This window comes from Homo sapiens, chromosome 5 (assembly GCF_000001405.40).
Source record: "Homo sapiens chromosome 5, GRCh38.p14 Primary Assembly".
NCBI classification, from domain to species: Eukaryota; Metazoa; Chordata; class Mammalia; order Primates; family Hominidae; genus Homo; species Homo sapiens.
Genome location: NC_000005.10, coordinates 72313844 through 72332798, shown reverse-complemented (window position 1 = coordinate 72332798; position 18955 = coordinate 72313844). Strand labels below are relative to the sequence as shown.

The 18955-nt window shown below is 41.1% G+C and overlaps 2 protein-coding genes and 1 pseudogene across 14 annotated transcripts in view, besides 4 other annotated features; 2 read left to right on the top strand and 1 right to left on the bottom strand.

Moving 5' to 3' along the window:
* PTCD2 (pentatricopeptide repeat domain 2) overlaps positions 1-12426 on the bottom strand; it is a 48023-nt gene extending 35597 nt beyond the window's left edge. For 6 of the 11 annotated variants that reach the window (XR_948298.3, XR_241790.6, XR_007058635.1 and 3 more), the window contains exons 1-4: positions 12290-12426; positions 10535-10627; positions 6058-6187; positions 1424-1541 (exon numbers count right to left, since the gene is read on the bottom strand). Coding sequence is in view for 5 of the 11 variants with exons in the window: in NM_024754.5 (NP_079030.3) it covers positions 1424-1541; positions 6058-6187; positions 10535-10627; positions 12290-12416 (468 nt within the window). In the remaining 6 variants the exon portion in view is untranslated. Of the gene's footprint in view, positions 1-1423; positions 1542-6057; positions 6188-10534; positions 10628-12289 lie in introns of those variants that run through there. The other 5 variants (XM_047417743.1, XM_047417745.1, NM_001284404.2 and 2 more) reach the window with 4 other exon arrangements.
* Positions 12228-12437: an enhancer, noted in NCBI's record as "active region_22648". NCBI's record gives its function as "activates an Ori minimal core promoter by ATAC-STARR-seq in GM12878 lymphoblastoid cells {active_cell/tissue: GM12878}" and the evidence as "EXISTENCE:reporter gene assay evidence [ECO:0000049][PMID:35858748]".
* Positions 12426-12966: an enhancer, noted in NCBI's record as "H3K27ac hESC enhancer chr5:71615660-71616200 (GRCh37/hg19 assembly coordinates)". NCBI's record gives its function as "activates a minimal SCP1, AML or CMV promoter by ChIP-STARR-seq in naive H9 embryonic stem cells {active_cell/tissue: H9 hESC(naive)}" and the evidence as "EXISTENCE:reporter gene assay evidence [ECO:0000049][PMID:30033119]".
* Positions 12498-12827: an enhancer, noted in NCBI's record as "active region_22647". NCBI's record gives its function as "activates an Ori minimal core promoter by ATAC-STARR-seq in GM12878 lymphoblastoid cells {active_cell/tissue: GM12878}" and the evidence as "EXISTENCE:reporter gene assay evidence [ECO:0000049][PMID:35858748]".
* The window catches only part of MRPS27 (mitochondrial ribosomal protein S27), a 100838-nt gene continuing 94441 nt past the window's right edge, over positions 12559-18955 (top strand). For 2 of the 3 annotated variants that reach the window (NM_015084.3, NM_001286748.2), the window contains exons 1-2: positions 12559-12650; positions 18641-18718. In NM_015084.3, coding sequence (NP_055899.2) covers positions 12578-12650; positions 18641-18718 — 151 coding nt within the window. In that variant the 5' untranslated portion in view covers positions 12559-12577. The remainder of the gene's footprint in view (positions 12651-18640; positions 18719-18955) is intronic. The other variant, NM_001286751.2, reaches the window with a different exon arrangement.
* Positions 12967-13508: an enhancer, noted in NCBI's record as "H3K27ac hESC enhancer chr5:71615118-71615659 (GRCh37/hg19 assembly coordinates)". NCBI's record gives its function as "activates a minimal SCP1, AML or CMV promoter by ChIP-STARR-seq in naive H9 embryonic stem cells {active_cell/tissue: H9 hESC(naive)}" and the evidence as "EXISTENCE:reporter gene assay evidence [ECO:0000049][PMID:30033119]".
* Positions 18111-18402, top strand: RN7SL153P (RNA, 7SL, cytoplasmic 153, pseudogene; annotated as a pseudogene).

Below are 18955 nucleotides of genomic sequence, written 5' to 3'. Positions count from 1 at the left end.
TGGCAACACTACAGGGTTGTAAGTAGGGAACAAGAGAAGTTCGGCTAGAAGCAGGATTAGGTCCTATGTCACTTACTCGAATTTGTCCATTCTACTCCAGAAAATTTACCTATACATGACTTTTTCATATACAAGCAGGCTAAAAAAAACCCGTTTGCTTTCATCTTTTTTATTTTTGTTTTTATCACCATACTCATGGCTATGATTTATTACAGTGGGAAGCTTTTGTTTTCCTTTAACTGAAACATTAACATATGTTTATTAAAAATAGTCAAATAATACAAAAATGTATAAAGTAAAAAGTGAGAATTTTTAATAATTCTACCCCCTAAAGATAAAGTGATTTAGTGTCTATCTTTCCAGTATCTATGTATTTATATTTTGTTAAAATGTTAATGTTAATATGTGTCTTTTCTTATGGAACAAAAAAAAACAGGATCAAACTATCTGTACTGTTCCGAAACAACCTTTTCTCTGCTTACTAATATATTATGGGTATCTTTCTAATACACAGGTGTCATTAAATAGGAGCAAGTCTAGAGTTAACATGCCCACCATGTACAGAGAAAATTTTGTATAAAAAAAGAGTAAGAGGCAGAAGAACAACTCAACTTGTTATGTAAGTTCCTAAATATACAAAAAGGTACCTGGTGGCCAGCCGTGGCCCCAAAATTTAGCAAATGTTTCTGATTATGGGAAACACAGCCTCATGAAAAGCAGTCTAAGCTTACACTCCCCCAAAGTGATGTTTCTGTTCTCTACATGGCATCTAGTAATCAAAATGACTTCATAATGAATGAATGAATTTATAATGTCTCTAGGTCCTAGTTTCTTTATCTACAAAATGGAAATCTACCTTATCAGGGCTATTGTGAGAAACAAATAAAATGAAACATTTAAAGTACTTAAACACAATGCTGAAGACATAGTAAATATTCAATGAGTAGCTGTAAAAATAATTATTTACTTTTGTTTTTAGGAACAGAAAGTCAGAATATGTGACGGAAAGTATTTTGAAAATAGAAAAGCACTTCCCAAATGTAGTCTTCAACCAGAAAAATACAAATACAAAATCGAGAGGGAATACAGGTAAAGGATAGGAATGTCAGTCTTTAAATGGAGACTGTCTTAAGCTCTTCTCTATTGAAAGCCCCTAAAAAAGCAGGTGTACAACCCACATTGATACACATCCAAGGTAGGATCATCTGTACCTATACCTCCTCCACACTTGTTCTATATTACTCCACCCCCCTTCACACAAACTGACTGCAAGGAAACTTAAAAATGCAGAGATGTGCTCATTCAGCCCCAGCAGCCTTTCTTTGAAAATCTAACCCAGGAATAATGTACATAGAAGACATGCCTTTTCCAATATCACCAAAAACACACACATTGGCAGAGAAAACAATTAGGAAACAATAACCTGGTCTTTCATGAGCTCCACTGCAGATTCCTCGAGATCCAACTCGTAACACAACCTCACAAAAAGCGGTCCAAATTTATACTCCCCCAAAGTGAAATTTTTGTTCTCTGCATGGTACCTGGTAATGAAAATGATTCAATGAGCCAAAAGGTAGGACACAGGAAAAAGGACAGACACAGACTATGGCAGGTACTGTGCCAGGTACTGGGACACAACAGAGAACGAAGTCCTCTCACAGTCTGGAGGGGGAGAAATGGAGATTTCAGACAATCAGGAATCCTGGAGTGCAGAAGTACACCAATCATTTAAACAAGTAAACAGAATTTACAGCAGACTGACATAAAATAAAAGAAACAGAGGAAAAACGTATGTTGTAATCATTCTCTAAATTTAGAAACAACCCCTAGACTGAGTGTGAGCACACCTTAAGAAACAGCAGGAGTCTAGTAGCATCTGTAAGTGCATCAGAATGGGCCCCACCCAGAGGAGAACAAGGGAAAGAAGTGGGGGTGATGCTCTGTGCTCCTGGAGGCTGGTTTCATCCTCATATAGGATGGCAGACAACCAACAGTCACATTTACAATTTACAGCAACTCTCTGCTTTTCTAAGCTTGAGAAAGGTACACCTGGGCTATGATCACCTGGCTAAACAAATTAAATGTGGTTTTGAATGTTTAAGTTTTAGGAAAAGGCTAATCTCAAAGATAATGATGTCTTCTATGTGGCTTGAGATTTCTACAGGCAGCCAGTCTGCCAGTCAGAACTGCATATCACTACTGTAAATTTACTTTCAATAACCAATTCTTTTTGCTTTAGACACCAAGAGGACAATATATGACAAAATCAACACCTCATGATTACACATAAATCAGATTTTAGAAAGACTTATTCATTAAGAATCTTCATATTCATATTTCTTTCAGATTTAGATTCATATAATGAGTGAATCTAAAATACCTTGGGGAGAAGCGCTGATGATAAAACAGGATACTTTTTACCTTCTGCTAAAAATCATCGAGGAGTCAGAGTAGTATTACGCTAGTCTATTCTAAATGCATATACTACAATGATACCATAATAGAATGATGAGGTGTACTTTGATACATTTCATTATCCACTTATAGAAGTTACAAATAGGCCGGGCACAGTGGCTCACACCTGTAATCCCAGCACTTTGGGAGGCCGAACCAGGCGGATTATGAGGTCAGGAGATCGAGACCATCTTGGCTAACATGGTGAAACCCCGTCTCTACTGAAAATACAAAAAAAAAAAAAATTAGCCGGGCGTGGTGGCGGGCGCCTGTAATCCCTGCTACTTGGGAGGCTGAGGCAGGAGAATGGCATGAACCCAGGAGGCGGAGCTTGCAGTGAGCCGAGATAGCACCCCTGCACTCCAGCCTGGGCGACAGAGCGAGACTCCATCTCAAAAAAAAAAAAAAGAAGTTATAAATAATATTCATTGCTTCATTACAACACTTATAAATTAAGTTTTTGGAAGGCAATATAGGATAGTGGTTAAGGGTTTTCAGGCTCTGAATCCAAACTGATCATTCAAATCCTAGCTCTTCTACTTGTGTGATGATGAGCAAATTAATTAACTACTCTGTGCTTCCGTCTCCTCATCTGTAAAATGGAAGGAAGAAGAGAACCCAACTCAGTTTTTTTGTGAAGATTAAATGAGATGATGTGCCTGGCACACAAGTCTTCAACATATAAATCTTTATAAAACGTAAGGCATGCTAAGGAAAACATCTTCAAAAATCAACATATTTCAGTAAATATTCTCATGAGAAACTTGTGCCAGATTAAAAGCAAAAGAAAGCAAAAAAAAAGTTTCTGATTTGACATTAACATGCTAAATGACATTCACATTAATAAAAGTGCTAGAAAGTCACTGAGATAATGAATTGCCTTCTGGACAAGAAATGTTCAAGAGGGTCTAAAATCCCTCAATAAACCAAACAGCATTTGGTCAACATAACGAGGGTATTAAGATGCTCCCCATTTTTGGCTCAATAAAAAGCTTATGTTTCAGCTCGTGACTCTCCTTTCCCAGCCACGGGCTGCCTGACTCAGGGAGAAAGAGAACATGTTGGTGGAGCCTTGGATCTACCCATCTTTCCACTTGTCCGGCTGTCTACAAGTAGAGAGGGAAAAGGTCAGCAACTGGGTAGAGATTTATTAGCATCAGTAAAGGAACTAAGTCATACTTTGAATATTTATGATAAAAATAAGAGTAGAAAGAGTGTTCAGGATATTTATCTCATTTTACTACTCTTATAAACATTGAATAGCTTTGTGTAGTAAAATGAGAGGAAAACATGCCAAAGGGAAATGATTTAACTTTGTGAAACTGAAATACGGAATTAAGTTTGTAGATACAGTGTGACTTTAAATTAGCATAACACTTTTGGAAAATAATCTGACAGTTATATATTGATAAACTTTAAAAAGTTCATACCCCCTGATCCCCAAAAGGAAACAAAGAGTAAGTTTTATGCAGCGAGTTTCTCATCATGACATTATTTATACTGGTGAAATATTAGAAAAAACTTCAATGTCCAACAATATGGGCATAGTTGATGAAAATACCTAACATATAATAAATACTGTATTGCCATTAAACTATGATTCCTAAGGATATGATTAACATGAAAATATTTATATTTAGAAAATAATTACACAGCAATAACTATAACAATGTAAAGCAAAATCTACCAAAACAATGAAATCTTTACATCTGTGAAAAAAAAAAATGCAAAAATATTAACAGTGGTTTCTTAGATGGGAGCAACAGGCCCCAAAGATGGCTGCCATCAATTTCTTCCCTCTCTGTATGTGCATATGGCTCCATCCATCCAGAGGTAGAATCCTTTTCCCCTCCCCTTGACTTTGGTCTGGCCAGGCAACTTGCCTTAACCAAGAGAAGCCATGCCAATTCTGGGCAGCTCTATCATGCCTGGCAGCTCCCATCTGGGCTGTGGGCCAGTGCAGCTCAAACCAACAAATGAATAATGAGGCACTCCAGAAAGACAGGGAGAGGCCACATGGAGGAGCAATGAGGCATCACAAACTCAAGAGAGGACTTCTTGGACCATGTAGTACAGCCCAGCTACCAGCTGACTGCAGATGAGTGAGTGGCTTCATCTGACACCAACCAAGAACTGCTCAGTGGAGATGGGCCTGAATTCCTGACTCCAGGATTATGAGAAATAATAAATAGTTACTGTGTTAAGCCATTAAGTTCTGGTGTGGGTTGTTATACAGCAACAGACAACTGAAACAGCAGAATTTGTGACATATTACTTCTCTCTACTTTTTGGTGTTTTTCAATTTTTCAATGAATTTTTTAATTTTTACTTAAAAAAAGACATTTTTTTCATGTTATAAAATTAATGTCCACTGTAGACAAGTTTGAGAAATCAGAAAAATATACATTTAGATAAACAAAAAATACATAATCCATAATTCCTAGAGAACCAGTTAACTTTTGGTAGAGAATCTTCCAGTATTCTTTATATGATTATCTTGTATTTCTCTCTATAAATGTACATATAAATACAGGTTCATATATAGAAACAGATCTTTTAAAAATGGAAAGGAGGGCTGGGCGTGGTGGCTCATGCCTGTAATCCCAGCCTTTGGGAGGCTGAGGTGGATGGATCACTTGAGTCTAGGAGTTCGAGACCAGCCTGGCCAATATGGCAAAACCCACTCTCTACTAAAAATACAAAAATTAGCCGGGTGTGGTGGCAGGCACCTGTAACCCCAGCTACTTGGGAGACTGAGGCAAGAGAATTGCTTGAACCTGGAGGTGGAGGTTGCATTGAGCTGAAAGATCGTGCCACTGTACTCTGGCCTGGGCAACAGATCAAGACTTCATCTCAAAAAAAAAAAAAAAAATAGTTTAAAAAGAAAAGGAAAAGAGCAATGAATTTAATTTCAGAAATGAAGTCTGTTGATTTGATGTCATACTGCTCCCTGGTAAGCGAAGCCTTTGCTGGCTTTCCCAGTGGCAGGCTATGCTTACATGCGAGTTCTTTCTGACATGGGAAACTTTAATAACGGATCAGAAAGGTATAGCAGGACTGGAGGAGGGAAAATAGGAGTCCACTGAAAGGATTTAGGTGAGAGACATTAAAGCGTGAACTAAGACACTGCTAACGGAGATAGAGAGAGGAAGGCTAGAGCTGAGGGAGATACCAAGGAAGTAGAACCAAGAGGATTTCTTACCCTATCAGGAAAGAGAGGCAAATGACATGAGAGTAAAGAGGCTCCAAAATATCTGTCCTGAGTGACTAGCCAGTGAGAAGGAAAACAGAAGAAGAGGAGTGAATTTGTACATAATGAATTTGAAGACCTAGGGGATATGTCAGTGATAGGCTGGTAACTTCTTTAGACATAAAATATCTGCTTTTCTATCCTTAGCACCCAGCATATAGTAGGAACCCAGTAAGTGTGTGCTCAACAATAAGTGAATGTAGGTGTCTGGAGTTCAAGGTAGGCATCCGAACAAGAGATCTGGAAGTCACTAGTATAGAGGTGGCAACAACTTCGAAGTGGATCAGACTGCTCATAGAAAGGAACAGAGTAAGAAGGGATAAGGGTGGCAACATTCTAAGGAAATGCCTCACCTGTAAATGACATTTTTAGCCAGTTCCACATGGTCCCGAGACTCACACAAATGTAGTAAGGTTATCAACTCCCCCTTCAAGATGAGCTTGTTCTGGGTCAGTTTCTTTTTCAAGTTTCTAAAATACGTTTCTGGAAGAAAGCACAGTATGGTGACCATCACTCAGGCTGACTGAGAGTATAAGGAGTCTGACCTCAGGAAGATGGGGAAGCCCAACCCCGGCTCACTGCAGAGGGGCACTGAGAGGGGTTCAGAAACACACAGCTGCCATCACTGGCCAATCTCCTCTAGAACAGCATCAGCAGATGGCATCTGTCACAGGAGGCAGGGACATGGGCACAGGGCCAGGCCCACTCAAGACTCTCTAAAATAAAATCTGTGGGGTAAGAGCTCAAGAATTGGCATTTTTGATTCCCTAGGTGATCCTCTGGTATACTAAAGTTTGAGAATTACTGTTCCAGAGGCTTGGCTCAAATAACTGAATCTCTAGGTGACTCATGAGAAAAAGAAAGAAAATGTAGCCAGACACCCAAACCGTCAACTGGCAGAGAACCAAATGGGAAAACTAAAAAGAAAATGTGAGTTGAAGGTAGGTTTGTCCACAATGGTGGACCCACATGACTCACGTTTCTTTCATTTGATTCAACTTCACCTCTTTTTCATTCCTCTTGGTCTCTTTTTACTCAGCTGTTAGAAGGCATGCCAAAGTACTATGTAATGGGCAGGGGGGAAAACAGTCCTCCAAACAGCAGCAAACAGTTTTTCAGTGACAGAATCATTTCAGTGTCATCACAGTCTATCATTCTCCCTTGTCTTTGTATCTGATCAACCGTGGGGACAAAAACCAAAAGGAGGCACCTCTTCTTGTCATCAATAAGGGGCTTTATTCCCACCAAAATGCGGGGTGAAAAGCAAAGCAGGCACCAACCAAGCATCTGCTTTCCAGAAGGCAGAACTGTTGTCAGTATCAGAAGCTGCCAGGAAATAGCTATAGGATTTGTTCCAAGAACCCAGAGCTTTGAAGGAATGCTGCTGAAAGGAGAGGCACAAATACATCTAAAACACAAGAACTAGAAGCAGAGGCACTGTTCTCAATTTAAAAGAAAAGACCTACTAGGTTTGAGATAATGCAGTGGCTCTTCCAATTTTTATTTGCAGAACCATGTAACAGTTAAAGGCTCTAGAGATGGAAGGACCTGGGCTGAAATCTAAGCTCGGCCACTTGCATTCTGATGGAGACCCTTGCTCTGAGACTTGATTCCTCATGTGTAAATTAAGGATCGTGGTACCTTCCTCACAGGGTTACCTGAGATGATATATGTAAAGCATTTGTCATTCGGTAACTGCCAGTAAATAGAAACATTATTGTTCTCATTTTCATTCCTTGTGTCACCTGTTAGATCTAAGAGGATTTAGTCTATTAAATATTTCTAAGCAACTTCCAGTCTAAAAAGTCTCAAGTCATCAAAGAGATGACGTTACATCTTGTACTCCTTAATCCTCCTTAATAAACCTTAAGAGGCCGGGTGCAGTGGCTCAGGCCTGTAATCCCAGCACTTTGGGAGGCCAAGGTGGGTGGATCACTTGAGGTCAGTAGTTTGAAACCAGCCTCGCCACCATGGTGAAACCCCGTCTCTACCAAAAATACAAAAAGTAGCCAGGTGTGGTGGTGCACGCCTGTAATCCCAGCTACTAGGGAGGCTGAGGCACAAGAATTGCTTGAACCTGGGAGGCAGAGGTTGCAATGAGCCGAGATCATGCCACTGTACTCCAGCCTAGGTGACAGAGCAAGACTCTGTCTCAGAAAAAAAAAAAACAACACCTTAAGAATCCAGTATTTCAACAGATATAACTTGTGTTTTAAAACAAATCAATCAACATTTGTTTATCATATAATCATACTCGGAAGTATCCTTCTTTGTGTGTGAGACACCAAGAAGCGTAAGGAATAGTTCCTGCCCTCAAAGAACTTAAAAGCATTTTGGGGAGGGCAAGCTAAATTTATACAAAGCTACCTGAAAACAATGATGGAGGAGGTGACACATGAATACTATAAACATAATAAGACTCTTCTGTCCTGTTACGACACCTATTACAACTCAGAGTGGACAGAAGAGTCCTGTTACAACCTTTACTATTATGACTCAGAACAGACCAGGTTGGTGAAAGTGGAGGGGTACCAGTGAGAAAGGAAAGGGCTGAAATCAGGTTGGAGAAATGGAGGAGGGGGATATTCTAGGTAAGGAAATCAGCATGAGCAACAGAACAGAACTGGGAATGACAGGTGTGGAGGGAAAAGCTGTGACTAGATCAACCAGAAACCGTCCTAGAAAGGGCGGAGTCCATCACGGGAGAGCCAGGATGCCAGAGAGATGAGTATGTTAATAGTGTGGTATACAACAGAGTACCACTGTGGGCTCTCAAAATGATGAAAGGTTGACAGGACTTTAAACATATCAGTCTGACAATAGAGCAGATTGGCACTGATTATATTAATTGCCTTTCAGAACATGTACACAACTGCCACAGACTTATGAAGACTATGACAACTGGAAATCACAACTGGATGACATGAAGCCCTAACTGCAAACCTCACATAGATCTAAAATACCTGGGTAGAAAGAAAAGACTGAAGTGAAATCTAGATTGAGCCTACTCAACTGGGGATAAATATATTCCCCCCATTCCAAAGGTTTATTTTTTTGCCCCCTATATGGTATTATATAACAGTATGATTAGCGGAGCAGCGAGAGAACATTGATTTCTGGAGGACTGAATTGTGAGGGAATGGAGGCAGAAAGTATCAGGATGGGTGCAGTGGCTCACGCTTGTACTTTAGGAGACTGAGGCGGGATACTAGCTTGAGCCTGGGAGTTCGAGACCAGCCTCAACACAGTGAGACCATCTCTACAAAAAAAAATTAAAAATTAAAAATTAGGCGGTATGGTGGCACTGTAGTCCTAGTTACTCAGGAGGCTAAAGCAGGATTGCTTGAATCCAAGAGTTTGAGGCTGCAGCGAGCTATGATGGTGCCAACTGCACTCCAGCCTAGGTGACAGAGCGAGACTGTCTCTTAAAAAACAAACCAAAACAAAGAGAATGTTAATGTGTTAATCAGGAGCTCACAAACATCTGGCAGTGAGAGGAAGGAGAGCTGGGTCTATGGTTGAAAAAGTCAGTAGGGACACCAAGAGTTATTAAAAAAAAAAGGAAAGTCTTAGATGTGTTCATAAAGGAGGATCAAGGAGGTATATCCACAACCCCCAGGGACCACTGCTGCATCCACACACAATAAAAGGTATGAAATGCTGGGAAGAACTCTATGTGCAGGAGGGAGAGAATGAATGCACAAGATTTTTCAGGTGCTGAAAGGGAAAAAGACCTAGGGTGGTGTTCTTGTTTGTAGCTTTTTATAACAAAAATTTTCAAACATACCCAAGAAATGAAAGAACAGGATAATAATCCCCCTCACTAAGTGCCATTACCCAGCCTCAATCATTATCAATATTTTGCTAATTATGTTTCCTCTACACTACAATCCTCAAACACACTGGATTTTTTTTCAAAGCAAATCCCAGATTTATCTTTTTTTTGAGACAGGGTCTCACTCTGTTACACAGGTTGGAGTGCAGTGGTGTGATCATGGCTTACTGCACCTTAGACCTCCCAGGCTCAAGCAATCCTCCCACCTCAGTCCCTGGAGTAGCTGTGACTACAGGCATGCACCACCACGCCCAACTAACTTTAAAAAAATTTGTAGAGATGAGGTCTACGCTGCTCAGGCTGATCTCAAACTCCCTGGCTCAAGCAATCCTCCTGCCTTGGCCTCCCAAAGTGCTGGAGTTACAGGCATGAGCCATCATGCCCAGCCAAATCCTAGGTTTGGTAGTCAGGTTTCTCTTGTTTTTTAAGAAATTTTTGATCCTACTGACTTTTCTAGCACAGAGTGAAAAATACCAAATGTATCATCACACATAGTACTGTTTTGTTTCATTTGATTTCATTTATATATAGATATGTTTGTGTGTACTGAGATGCAACATAAAATGCATTTTTCACTGAAGGTTACATCAAAAAGTTTGAAAGCCAATCATCTGAAGTTTTTAAACTTTATTGTGCATATGAATGATCTGGGGCCTTTCTCTCTGCACTTCTATCAACCACCCAATAGATGCTGATGCCGCTGGTCCTCAAACCTCACTTTTAATGGCACAGATTTAGACAAGACCAATCGCAGCACTAGCTTTAATACTTCTCTGGGATCGTAAGAGAAGGAATAAGAGGAGAGCTGTAGACGTTGTAGCAGCAAAGTATGAAATGCAAGATAAATATAAGAGTTCACTATGAAACTAACAATAAATGGTCTCAACTTTTTCTAAGGCATAATAAAGTCACTGAAGGAGACACTGAATAGGGATAAAGACAGAGAAACTTAAATGACAGATAAATGACAGAATTAACAAAATAGATTCTATTACCTTTAGTGCCAGAAAGATTACATGCAACAGCCACTTTCTTTTGTTGAAATTCTTTTAATTTCACCACATTATCTGTAAGTAGGTATCTTTTAGCTAAAAATCAGAGAAAGAAAAAAGTAAAGTCATTTTGACTGTTTTAGAAGTTAGCAAATAACATGAATAGAGCTGGATTACCTCTAACATCTATTATAGATAATCCATTAGACAGGTACAAATATAACTGTACAAACTGTACAAATATAAATCCTGGGAAAAACAATTTCTGAACTACCAGAGAATGCAAATCCTCAGCAAAACAGGTTTTATTTGTGTGTGTGAAAGAAGCTAGTGATTAACCGTAGCTAGTGATAAACCTGTGTGGGGACTGGTTGACAGGAAGTTGGGATTTGAAGTACAAATGGGCATTTGCCATCGGTTAAGGGTATCAAGGGCATTTAAAAAAAAAACTAATAACATTTAAATGCAAAACAGGCATATTTAGTTTTGGTTTATCCAGGGAGAAGCACAGTGTAGTGGAAAAAGCTGCAGCATGACCACTGGAACTCCCAGTTTTGTCCTCTGTGAAATGAGGGGGTTAAGGCCTCTCAGATGTGGACTCAAAATACATTTGAGATACATGGAAATCATTGATCACAGCTTAGTAGATTTGGGAAACATCATCCTTTCTTTAGGATCCTTGGCTGTGCATGAGATAAAACGGACCAAGCGTGGCCGAAGAATCACGCACTAACAGAGTTCTGTGAGCTGCAGTAACAAGGTAACAATAAAAGTTGCTATTTATTTACAGAAAGGCAGTCCAGTGAAGTGGTTAGGAGCAGGTTTCTATTGTTGGGTGTGTTCAAATCCCACCTCTAACAGTTCCCTCTGACTTTGGGCAAATTACTTAACCTTGTTCCTCCTCTGTAAATGGAGAAAAGAATGGTACTTCTCTTGCTGGGTGTTGTCTAGAGAAAAGGAATTAATGTATGTAAACTACATTAAAGTAATGCCTGACAAACATTTTTACTATCACTCACTAGCATCTTCAGATTTAACTCTCTTCATAGAGATGTTAGAGGATAGTTTTGAAAAATGAAGAAACGTGCCGTTAAGTCTTTTAGATTGTTAGCAGAACTGAGACTCCATAAGACCTCTGCTTCCAAACTCTGCAGAAAAGAAAAAGGCCGGGCGCGGTGGCTCACTCCTATAATCCCAGCACTTTGGGAGGCCGAGGCGGGTGGACCACGAGGTCAGGAGTTCGAAACCAGCCTGGCCAACATAGTGAAACCCGTCTCTACTAAAAATACAAAAAATTACCCGGGCGTGGTGGCGCACGCCTGTAGTCCCAACTACTCGGAAAGCTGAGGCAGGAGAATCGCTTGAACCCGGGAGGCGGAGGCTGCAGTGAGCCGAGATCGCGCCACCGCACTCCAGCTTGGGCGACAGAGCAAGACTTCGTCTCAAAAATAAATAAATAAATAAATAAAAGTCACCCAAGGCGGGAGGGATGTTCCTGAAGACGAACGTCGCCCCATCTGAGGGAGCACTACAGCCCCAAGGTCAATACCCCAGCAGTCCTTCGATTTGCAGGCACTGGGGGTATCCACGACCCCCAGTGGTCACCACTGCACCCACGTGCAACTAGAGGGCGAGGGTGCGCTCCAGGCCAGTGAGTGACTTAGGAGCTGTGGCTGCTCCACAGAGATGCTAGCTGGGATCTAACACTCCCTTCTCTCCCATCCCTCCCCTCCTTCCCTAGGCTAAAGCCGCGGATACCTCCGAGAGGGCAGCGGCAGCTGACAGAGCCGGAGCCTCCCACCCCAGGATACACCAAAATCTGCAGCGCCTGCAGGAGAACTCGATTCGAGGGCCGAAATGCAGCAGCCATACTGTCTCGGACCATACCAACTACTGGAACCGGGGCGAGGAGGCGGAGCGTCGGTCCTGTCGTCGAGAGCGACAAAAGGGATTCGTCCAATTCTGGGCGCCCCGAGAGGTCGAGCTGTAACCCCGCCCCTTCCTCTGTCCGTAACCCGTTGGCTGTTCCTTTTGGTACGCTCCAAGATGGCTGCCTCCATAGTGCGGCGCGGGATGCTCCTGGCGCGGCAAGTGGTTCTTCCTCAGCTCTCTCCTGCAGGTTGGCCGGACAGCTTCATTAGGCCCCTGATTATTCTGTTTTTTGGGTGAAGGGAGCGGTGGGCTTTCAAGAGGAGAGGAAACGTTTCTGGAATCTGATTGCTAGGGACGCCATTTGGGGTGTTTGGTAGTGCAGAAGAAGGAGACAAGGTATCTGATCCATTTCCTTCCCTAAAATAACAGTATGTTCCTGTCCAAAGGTACGAAGAGCAGTGGAAGGTTATATAGCATGAGGGAATTTGCGTATGATTCGCCAGATTTATGTGTTGGGGTGGTCGTGCTTTTGCTGACCACGAAAAACCCAAATGTGCGCCGGGCGCGGTGGCCCACGCCTGTGGTCCCAGCACTTTGGGAACGCGAGGCGGGCGGATCGCCAGGAGTTCGAGACCAGCCTGGCCAACAGGGCGAAACCCCATCTCTACTAAAAAATACAAAGAAATTATCTGGGCCTGGTGGCGCGCGCCTGTAATCCCAGCTACTCGGGGGGCTGAGGCAGGATAATCGCTTGAACTCGGGAGGCGGAGGTTGCAGTGAGCAGAGATCGCGCCACTACACTCCAGCCTGGGCAACAGAGCGAGACCCTGTCTCAAAAAAAAAAAAAAAAAAAAAAAAGGAAAAACCTAAATGTGTCCATTCCTGGGGCTGGGACATTTTTCTCCCATCTGAGGTTTCTTTAGAGGGACGTCAGATAAACATTTTTCCCACCACCACACATTTAGCTGGACCCCTGGTCTTCGTGGAAGAATTTTTCAGTATTAATCTCATTTTATCTGATGACCTAGAGCACAACTTTTGATTGACCTTTCTTTGCTATAGTTTTCCACGTGTAGATAATAAATGCTATTAGTTACTTGTAAAATACTTTGATATCTGAACTAAATGGCAGCCCACTCAAAGCCTGCATAGTGGATCTGATAATGAAAACATTGGAAAAAAGTTTTAAAGTATTTATAGAAGCCAAATTTGCAGTGATTCTAACCACATAATCCAGACAGACATATTTGATAAAAATGCAATAATCACACTCGATTTTTCCATTGCCGCTTATCTTCCCTTTCCAACCTACCTCCCATCCTCTATTTTTTTAAAAAGCACGCACTTCTTTAGGAACAGCCATTAAACGTCAATGTGAAACCTCAGAGTTGGCCACCAGTTTTCTGAAGATTAAGTGGCTGACCTGGTGAAAACGTTTAATGTCACACATTAGGCAGTGTTATGCACAACGCTTGACACCTTAGTAAGAATTAGCTGTTGTAGCTATTTTCTGTTTATGTGGTTTCCGTGAACAACTACACACAGAGGGCATTTTGGGAGACCTGTCTTTCCCCACAATCACCTCCCCAGCCTTTTTTTTTTTTTTCGGGTTTCGTTCTTGTTGCCCAGGTTAGAGTGCAATGGCACGATCTCGGCTTACTGCAGCCTCTGCCTCCCGGGTTCAAGTGATTCTCCTGCCTCAGCCTCCCGAGTAGCTGAGATTACAGGCATGCGCCACCACTCCCGGCTAATTTTGTATTTTCAGTAGAGACGGGGTTTCTCCATGTTGGTCAGGCTGGTCTCTAACTCCTGACCTCAGGTGATCCACCCGCCTCTACTTCCCAAGGTGCTGGGATTACGGGCGTGAGCCACTGTGCCCAGCTGGCCCAGCTTTTTAATCTCCCAGTTCAGAACTCTTGAGCAATGATCTAGATATTGTCCTGACTCCAGAATGTAGAAAGGTGATTACTTATGCTAGAATGAAGCATATGCTAGAATGAAGGCATAGAGAATAACAGATAATAAATAGAGAGTAAGCAAGTAGCTGGTATGCGGGAGTACAGTTGGCTTCCTTATCCGAGCATTCTGCATCTGCAGAGTCAACCAACAGCGGATCAAAATACTACAAAACAAAACAAAAACTAACAATAAAAAATAATACAACAGTAAAATAATACAAAGAAAATACAACATGACAACCACTTACATTGCGTTTACATTGTGTTAGGTATTATAAGTAATCTACAAATGACTTAAAGCAGCTTGTCCAACCCTCAGCCCAGGACAGTTTTGAATGTGGCCCAACACAAATTTGTAAACTTAACTAAAATATTAGGAGATTTTTAGCATTTTTTGTTTTGTTTGTTTGCCCATCAGCTATCATTAGTGTTAGTGTAGTTTATGTATGTGTGGCCCAAGACAATTGTTCTTCTTCCAATGTGACCAGGGAAGCCAAAAAAATGGACACCCCAGCTTAAAGTAATGCAGGAGGATGTTTGTGGGTTATTTGCAAATACTGTGCAATTTTATGTAAGAGACTTCTGCATTCTCAGATTTTGGTATTTGAGGGGGTATTCTAGAACCATCCCCCTGGGGCAGGAGAATTGCTTGAACCCTGGAGGCAAAGGTTGCAGTGAGCCAAGATCATGCCACTACACTCCAGCCTGGGCAACAGAGAGATACTCCATCTCAAAAAAATAATAATAATAAATAAAATTAGGCCGGGTGTGGTGGCTCACACCTGTAATCCCAGCACTTTGGGAGGCTGAGGTGGGTGGATCACCTGAGGTCAGGAGTTTGAGACCAGCCTGGCCAACATGGAGAAACCCTGTCTCTATTAAAAATACAAAATTAGGCGTGGTGGCGCATGCCTGAAATCCCAGCTACTCAGGAGGCTGAGGCAGGAGAATCGCTTGAACCTGGAAGGCCTCCGCCTTCCGGTTGCAGTGAGCTGAGATCATGCCATTGCACTCCAGCCTGGGCAACAAGAGCGAAACTCCATTTCCAAAACGAAAAAATAAATGGAAATTAATTTAAATAATTATAGTCTTTTCTTAGTTCTCCTTTTGAAAGCGTCTTTGGAAACCTTATTGTTGCCTCATTATTTAATTTGTAGAACTCAAATTTAGATATATTATTCTAGTAAAGATCTGTGTTCACAGTAAGAGAATGAACTGTGTATAAATTCACACAGATGTGTTTGTATTTGTTTATTTGTTTGAGCTGGAAAGTAGGTAGAGAATAAAAACAGCATTCCAATACTGTGTTTAATCAGCCCCCATGCTATCTAGTTGTGTTGGGCTTTTGGTCTGCTGTGACCTCAGCATAATTATCTGTCATTTTTTCTGTTTGTTTTTTTTTTTTTTTGAGACGGAGTTTCGCTCTTATTGCCCAGGTTGGAATGCAATGGCGTGATCTCGGCTCACCACAACCTCCACCTCCTGGCTTCAAGGGATTCTCTTGCCTCAGCCTCCCAAGTACCTGGGATTACAGGCATGCACCACCACGCCTGGCTAATTTTGTATTTTTAGTAGAGGCAAGGTTTCTCCATGTTGGTCAGGCTCGCCTCGAACTCCCGACCTCAGGTGATCCGCCCACCTCGGCCTCCCAAAGTGCTGGGATTACAGGCATGAGCCACTGCACCTGGCTGTTTTTCTATTTTTTTAAACAGAGTTATTGAGGTATAATTCACATGCCATACAATTCATCCATTTAAAATACACAATTCAGGCCAGGCATGGTGGCTCACGCCTGTAATCCCAGCACTTTGGGAGGCCAAGGCTGGGGGATCTCCTAAGGTAGGAGTTCGAGACCAGCCTGGCTATTATGGTGAAACCCCGTCTCTACTAAAAATACAAAAAATTATCCAAGCATGGTGGCAGGCGCCTGTAATCCCAGCTACTCTGGAGGCTGAGGCAGGAGAATTACCTGAACCTGGGAGGTGGAAATTGCAGTGAGCCAAGATCACACCATTGCACTCCAGCCTGGGCAACGAGCAAAACTCCATCTCAAAAACAAACAAAGAAACAACAAATGCAGTATACAATTCAAAGGTTTTAGTATAAACACAGAGTTCTGGAGCCATCATCACAAGCTATTTTAGGACATTTTCATTATCCCAAAAAGAAATTCCATGCCCATTTGCAATTGCTCCCCATTTCTCCTCTAGCTTTCCTGATCCTCACCTTTAGCCCTTAGCAACCATGAATCTACTTTCTGTCTCTACAGACTTGCCTATTCTGGATTGCTCATATAATGGAATCATATAATATGTGGTCTTTTGTGACTGGCGTCTTTTTTACTTAACATGTTTTCAGGATTCACCCATGTAGTATGTATCAGTACTTCATTTTTTATTGCCAAATACTATTCCATTGTAAGGATAGACCACATTTTGTTTATTCATCAATTGATGGATATTTGGGTTGTTTCCACTTTTTGTCCGTTATGAATAATACTACTGTGAACATTTGTTTACAAATTTTCTGTGGACACAAGTTTTCATTTTTCTTGGTTGTAAACCTAGGAGTGGAATTGCTGGGTGATAGAGTAACTCCATGTTAACATTTTGAGGAGCTACCAAATTCTTTAAAAAGCAGCTGCACTGTTTTATGTTCTCTCCAGTAAGGTATGAGTTTCTGGTTTCTCTGCATCCTCCCCAGCAGTTGTCATTATCTGTTTTTTGATGGTGGTCATTGTAGTGAGTATCATTCGTTTCTCCAGGTGATTTTGTTTTGCATTTCTCTAATGGCAAATTATGTTAAGCATCTGTCCTTATGATTATTAGCTATTTGTGTGTGTATACATATATATTTTACTTTTTCTTTTTTTTTTTTTTTCGAAACAGAGTCTCACTCTGTTGCCCAGGCTGGAGTGCAGTGGCATGATCTTGACTTACTGCAACCTCTGCCTCCCGGGCTCAGTCGATTCTCCCACCTCAGCCTCCTGAGTAGTTGGGACTACAGGTGCATGCCACCATGGCTGGCTAATTTTTGTGTTTTTTGTAGAAACGGGGTTTCACCATGTTTCCCAGGCTGGTCTTGAACTCCTGAGCTTAAGTGATCCACCCACCTCAGTGTATATATGTTTTTAAAGGTATACCTGTTTAAATCCTTTACCCATCATTCATTTGGGTTGTCTTTTTTTTTATTTTTGAGTTGTAAGATTTATTGAAATATTTTGGATACAAGTCTTGTACTAGATAAATGTTTTGCAAATATTTTCTCCTGTTCTTTGGGTTGTACTTTCACTTTCCTGAGATTGTACTTCAAAGCACAAAAGTTTTAAATTTTGATGAACTTGCCATTCATTCTTTCTCATTCACTCCTTGAGCTCATGTTTGTTAAACACTGCCAAAGGCTAGGCATTGTGCCAGGAGCTAGGAATAGTGGTATGCTATCTTGTACGTTACCTCAGCTTTGGCTTTGTGAGTTTCTTTAATTTACCACTAGGGTGCTGGCTCATTGGGTAAGATACTACTCCTTGCTTTATGTGAAATGATTGAAACCTGTGGATCTAAGATGAAAATGTTTTTTAGGCATAATAATTATAAAGCATTTAATTAATGAGTTAAGCAACAGTCAGCAGGTGTTTTTGGTTCTAAGAAGGTGTTCTAGGGCTTGCCTGGATTATAATTTACTAGCAACAAGTGGCTCCTAGTCTTAAAGTTATAGGAACAAAATTAGCAGTTTTATCCATAAAATTATGGGCATAGCGCAGTGGTATGTGTCTGTAATGCTAACTACTTGGGAGGCTGAGGCAGGAGGATCACCCAGGAGTTCTGGGCTGTAGTGCACAATACCGATCAAGTGTCCACACTAAGTTTGGCATCGATAGGATGATTGACGTTCCAGGAGCAGGGAACTACCAGGTTGCTTCAGGAAGGGTGAACCAGGTTGGAAACTGAGCACATCAAAATTCCTGTGCCGATCAGTAGTGGGATTGTGCCTGTGAATAGCTACTGCATTCCAGCCTGGGCATTATAGCAAGACCCTGTTTATTTTATTTAAAAAATTATTGTGAAAATCCTGTTTTTCTGCATCTTCACTTGTTAGGGGTTGAATGCATTTTGTTCTTCACTGAATTGTCAACTATGCGATATTGGTTGCTGTACTGTATTAGATTATTTAAAATATATAATCTAGTAGTTGAAAGGATAGTGAAGATATATTTAATAAAACATATAAAATGAACCTCTTGTAAAACCATGTGTGTTGAAATAATTGCCTATTTTCTCAGGTAAAAGATACCTGCTTTCTTCAGCCTATGTAGACAGCCACAAATGGGAAGCAAGAGAAAAAGAACATTACTGTCTTGGTAGGTACCTATTGGACTATTATATGTGTCATTTTCGGTCACTCTGTATGTCTTCCATCATTTATTCATATAACGTATATATGAAATTATGCTTTTATGATGTTTCAATTCAGATAAGCATGTTTTAAGTCTTAAAGAGTTAGACTTTTATACATGGCAAAATCAGTTTTATCCTGTTCATTTCTAATATTTCATTTTTGCCTCCATGATTAGTCTCCTTAGAATATGTAAACAGTT